Source organism: Homo sapiens, chromosome 5, assembly GCF_000001405.40.
Source record: "Homo sapiens chromosome 5, GRCh38.p14 Primary Assembly".
Lineage (NCBI taxonomy): Eukaryota > Metazoa > Chordata > Mammalia > Primates > Hominidae > Homo > Homo sapiens.
The window spans coordinates 35316668-35322679 of NC_000005.10; the positions used below are offsets into that span (position 1 = coordinate 35316668).

At 38.9% G+C, this 6012-nt stretch overlaps 1 annotated feature.

Moving 5' to 3' along the window:
• Nucleotides 5026–5226: a silencer, noted in NCBI's record as "peak5224 fragment used in MPRA reporter construct". NCBI's record gives its function as "represses an SCP1 promoter by STARR-seq MPRAs in K562 erythroleukemia cells {active_cell/tissue: K562}" and the evidence as "EXISTENCE:reporter gene assay evidence [ECO:0000049][PMID:32103011]".

A 6012-nucleotide genomic window follows, 5' to 3' on the forward strand; every position in this document is an offset into this window, starting at 1 on the left:
ATTTTCTATACATTCTCCAGCTGTTGTGATGAATAAAACAAAATTTGCTTTTCTTTTTTTGTTTACTGCCAGCTGTAGAAAAAACCCTGAACACCTGATATTCCTGAGAGCTGCCTTGTGAGAACAGCTGTCCCATCAAAGACCCTTGGCAGGGTGTTATTCTAGATGAGTCCATTAGCTATTGCGGAAGCCAACACACATGTGAGGGAAAGATTTTCCATATTTTGCAAGTCCCGCCTATTAAAGCTTTCTGTAATGACAAGATGGTATTGCTGAGTGACTTTTTAATTGTTTTTCCTAAGCAACTGCCAATGTTTAATTAGGCTTCAGCTAACACGCTCTAAGTTAATTTAAGACAAATGGCTGTGGTGTGGCTAATTGTTAGAGTATGGTGATCTGGGAGCATCTGACTCAAGCGTGAGTCTGTGCTCTGCAGATATGTGGTGGGTGGCTGAATGACCCAGACAGGTCTGATTGCCCCTGCTGGGAAACACCCAAACCACCTGTCTGGGATGAGTAATCTCCCTGACACACTACCTAAATTCACACCTCCATACTTCAAGCTAAACCAGTATGGATTTAAAGCCTGGAATTTTATTAAATTAATCACTAATAGCTTTTATGTGTGAATTTTATTATCAAATGAATCAACAGTAGCTTTTACGTATGAAAAGCATGCTTGTATCTATTGTATTAGACTGCCTTAGAAAACATCCATTAGAGCTGGAACAGACCTCAAGAAGATTAACTTCAATGCCGACATTTAAATAGGAACTAATAAGGGACGAGAGAGGAGGAACAACTTGCCCAAAGTCACCTAGATTTTAGGACTGGAACTAAAGCCTCAGCCTTCTCATTTTAAATCTTCTGCTTGTTTCCCCCTTCTGCCCACTCTGCCCCCTCAACCCTCACCCCAAATTGTATTAAGTTCACCACTTAACTCCAACTCTTTCAGGACAGGAAGTGGAGGTACAAGGATGAAGCTGGGAGGTGGGAATGAACATTTTTGATGGGCTGATACTTATGGCTCATGCTGCAGACAATGGACAGGGCCTGGCAGGTGGTAGGGATCAGCAGAATGCCTTTGATAGAGTTTGGCTCTGTGTCCCCACCCTATTCTCATCTTGAATTGTAATCCCCATGTGTTGAGGGAGGGACCTGGCGGGAGGTTATCAGATCATGGGGGCAGCTTTCTTCCTGCTGTTCTCATGAGAGTGAGTGAGTTCTCACCAGGGCTGATGGTTTTAATGTGTGGCACTTCCTCACTCTTGCTCTCTCCTGCCACCATATAAGACGTGCCTTGCTTCCCCTTTACCTTCCGCCATGATTGTAAGTTTCATGATGCCTCCCCAGCCATGCGGAGCTGTGAGTCACTTAAACCTCTTTTCTTTATAAATTACCCAGCTTCAGATAGTTCTTTATAGCAGTGTGAAAATTGGCAAATACAGCCTTGTAGCATAATTCCACAAAGTTGAAGGACACCCCCACCCTAAGTCAAGCTTCCATTGCTTCGGCCCTCTTGAGGCTTCCGTCTCCTTGAGTACGAGTTCTTTGGCTTTATTCTTTTCAGTCATTCCCTGACACCAAGAACCTTGCTCTCACCCTCCCACTCTGTGCTCAGTCCACTCTTGCATGGTCTTCCATCTTTGCTTCTTCTTGGTTGTGTCTCCCTTTAGTTCTTACGCCTTCTCTGTGTTTCAACATCTTCTCTATTTGTAGCTTAAACCAATGGGTTTTCTGATCTTCCCAGGTCTGTTATGGTGGTAAAGTGAGTTAAAACATGGCAACATTTGAGAGGAATGTCTGACACATAATCATATGATAAGCACACCCTAAAGAATGGTAATCATTTTCTTTATTATTATTCCGCTTGATTTCTTATATTTCTCTTGCTCTGCCAAATTATATTTTTATATTGTACTCACTTAAGAAACTCTCACCGTGTCCTGCTGAGTGGAGGTCTCCCTGCCACATAGGACACTCCATCCAATGTCTCCCCTCTCTTGTAGACCTGACATACTAGGGGCAAGCTGCTTTTTCCAGAGTTTCCTCATCTCTCTTCAAAAGACAAAGTAGATGACGTTAAGATATTATTTCAACAATTCCCTTATAGAACCAAAAAAGCTGTATTTTATTATAGTTGCTTGGAAGTGATATACCCTATTCAGCACTGTTTTGATTATAAAAATACATTTTAGCCCTCTTTTGAAACTTTCAGAGTTTATAGAATATTTATTTCTAAAAAGTCCATAGGAGTATAAACCTTGAAAAAAACCCAAAAAAGTGTAAATATTTGGGGGGAAAAAGACATTCAGAGAACTGATAAAAAGGAAATGAAGTGGATAACTTTTTTTTAGATAAAAATCTTTACTTGTAAATTACTTACAGAGTCACTTCAAATATTCATCATAATTGGGAAGATAGGCTTATTGCCAGTTACCCTAACAACATATGAGATAACAAACATTAAAAAAAATTTCATGAAAATTAAGTATGTCTTTAATATACAGGTAAGATAGGCATAAAAGGAAGAAATTTCTGATTTGGGGCATATGTGAGAAAAACAGAATACAAAAAGCAAAAGCACGTGCTGAATAAATTTAGTTAAATAATATATTCTACTTCACAGTCATTTTATTTCCACTAGCCCTAGTTTGCCAACATATTTATTATTGAAAATGAGATGTATGTTCTATGTATATTGCTCGAGGCTGATTTAGACAGGACTTTGTGTGCATTGCTGACCACAAAGAGAGTTTCAACTGAAGGCCAGAATAAAAATGGCATGGCTTACAATTTCACCACATTTGTTTTCAAAAGCAACGTGATTTCCTTTTCTAAATTGCAAAGCAAAACCAAACAAAATGGGCTAGTTATTCTTGAAAAACTTTGGCCATCCTTAACTCTCAATTGCTAGCAATATTTCAGATTCCTAATTAGTGTCTGAAAGAAAAAACATTGGCCACGAAAGAATAAAGAATAAATGATTTTATTTGATAAAAAAGCATTATAAGCAAGGTGAATGGAAAGTTTGTAGAATGTGTCCAGATGGTAAAAAAATTGTGAAAAATGAAACTCAAGAGAAGCTTGAAAGAAATAAGGAAATGTATCACTCTGTGTGTCATTACAAGTTTGGCGCTGGGCCAGTCTGCAAAAAGGGAAGTTTTAAGATGGTTGAAGCTTAGCTGTTTCTTAAGTAGCAAGACACAAAGGCTGCATCTATTAAGTACTCTGTGGTTATGATGATGTCATTTGGTGATTTCCACTGTCCTGATTGATTTATAGAAGATAAAAACTCTACTTTAGTCCAACAGAGATAGCAACCAAACTCTTAGATTCAGCTGGTGAACCAACTGGAAAATTAAAGTAATTCTGTGCCTTGGACACATTTCATTAATCTTCTTGTGGGACTTATTTCAGTTTTGTGAAATTGTTTGTTTAGAAATGGTAATAGATTCCATTTCAAGCCAACCAATAATCTATTCCTTTCTGCCACACTGGACGGAACTCTGGGTTACTTTAGTAAGAAAAACATCGTAATCTTCTCTCTGAGAAGGTTATAATTGACCTAGGTGGAAGGTTAGTCAGTGTAGACTTGAACTATAGTGCCTGGTTGAATTTGGGCTCCACCTTTCTTTCTTTGTGACTGGGAGAGTCAGTTAATCTCTGAAGCGTCTCCTCAGTTTTCTAATCCATGACTGGAGTGCATAAGCCTGAATGTGTATTAAATAAGATGATACTTGCAAAGCAATGACAATACTTGGCATGCAGTAACTGCTCCATAAATGTCATTTAGGTGGAAGATGATGTGAGAACCTTCTACAGCCTCTCAGTAGTGCCCTGTGCTTCTCTTATAAGAGCATTTATCATGCAGTTTTGCCAGTGCTTGCTTAATTGTCTCCTTTCACAGACTTTAGGTTTCACGAATGTGAGGGAAAGTATATCTTATTTCATAATTGACCATCAATTTATCTCAGCTCCTATCAAAATGTGTGGCACATAGTAGGCTCCAATAAATAGTTTTCAATGAATGAACACTTGTTACATGATAGTTTAGGGAAGACTTCCATTTGAATTTTAAACTGGTAAGTTGGCATTTAGATTTTATAAAGATTTTTTATTCTCCAAAGATAGTTTTTTTTCAATAACCTACAAATCCATAGTAGAAAGAAGAAGGAGGCAACATTGATGTGAAGCAGAAACTGCGCTAGATATCAGGATAGGTGGGTGGGAGGCCCAGTTTGGGTACTACTCATTGTGGAGCCCTGAGGAAGTCACCCCATCTCTTTGAGATACATGTACCTTAGCTGTAAAGTGGGCATAAGAAACTTGAGCTAACTAATGTAAAGTTTATGTGTGTGTGCTTATGTGTATTTTTTTTTTAAACTAAGGTAGGTGATAGGCTAATAAAAGGGAGTATGGCAAAGTGAAAGTGGCAAGTAAGAATTTACTTCTAAGGGCCGGGCGCGGTGGCTCACGCCTGTAATCCCAGCACTTTGGGAGGCCGAGGCGGGCGGATCACGAGGTCAGGAGATCGAGACCATCCTGGCTAACACGGTGAAACCCCGTCTCTACTAAAAATACAAAAAATTAGCCGGGCGCGGTGGCGGGCGCCTGTAGTCCCAGCTACTCGGGAGGCTGAGGCAGGAGAATGGCGTGAACCCCGGGGGGCGGAGCTTGCAGTGAGCCGAGATGGCGCCACTGCACTCCAGCCTGGGCGAAAGAGCGAGACTCCGTCTCAAAAACAACAACAACAACAACAACAACAAAAAAAAAAGAATTTACTTCTAAGAATGGGTTGTAATTCTCTAGATATAATCAGTCTCTGTTTAGTTCTAAAGCTTAGCTTTGTTATGGCCCTAATGCACGGTCAACTTTAAAAAGACCTGCAAACCAAAAAAAAAAAAAAAAATTAAAAAAAAAAAAAAACCTCTCTAAGCCTGAAAAATCTCCAGATATTCCCAAATTGGGGAATATTCAGATTCATGTTTCTCTGAAGGACAGTGCAAGGTCATCTACAGTATCCACCATCAATGTTTAACAACCTGTGGCTGGTGGACAAGCTACTTGAGATTCTCAGATGATAGAAATGGGTCAGGCCTATCAGCAGATGTGTTCGCATAGTAGGTTCACTTGATAGATGTCACCTTATCCTCCTAGACATTTCCTCTGCTGGAGAGCTCCATGTTCATCTTGAGATAGCCAAAAGTGGACAAGACTATTTTTTCCCACTCCCAGCTGCTTTCAGCAAGACAGACAGACACTTCACCTCCTTAGCTCTGCTTCTCTCCAGTGCTGTGTACCTTAGGAAAAAAGCAGTAACTGGTTATTGTAAAGTCACTATTATAAAATATTAAGGTCTTGAGGCCGTGTTCTAAATTAAACACAAGGAGGTTAAGAAGGAAAATCTTAATTAGAATTAAAAGTCACAGTTAAAACAAGAAGTGTTACTTCTTCTAGACAACATATATTTGAATACTATTTTCCTGGAAAATTAATTTCACAGAATTTATTCTTTGCATGATATGCAAGTAGAGGTATAGACCACACACATGGCTAATAGTATACAATGGTCATGCAGGAAGCAGAAGATAGTTGTAAAATAGGTGTTTTGTAAAAACAAAAAAAATAGTTATTTAACACTTGACCGTAACCCACTTAAATGTCCAGCGGAAGCAGTGACACTACATTGATACACACAACAGTACATTCGAGGAAAATAATTAAAATGGTAAATGTCTTGAAATGCTAAGTAAACTACAGAAATAATAAAATTCCCTATTGCATTGTGGTACTTCCTATAAAGTCTGACGAGAGCAGTTTGCTTTAAACAAGTAAAGAAAACTCTTTCACATTCTGGTAAGAAATTCCTTAGAGACAGAATTTAAAATAAAAATCACAATCCCCTTACTGGATAAAGCATATAATTTTCCTCCTTAGGTGCGTGAATTAAAAACAGCTGCCAAGCCTACTTAATTATGGGTGCTCAGAGTCAAACTAGACATGACAAAT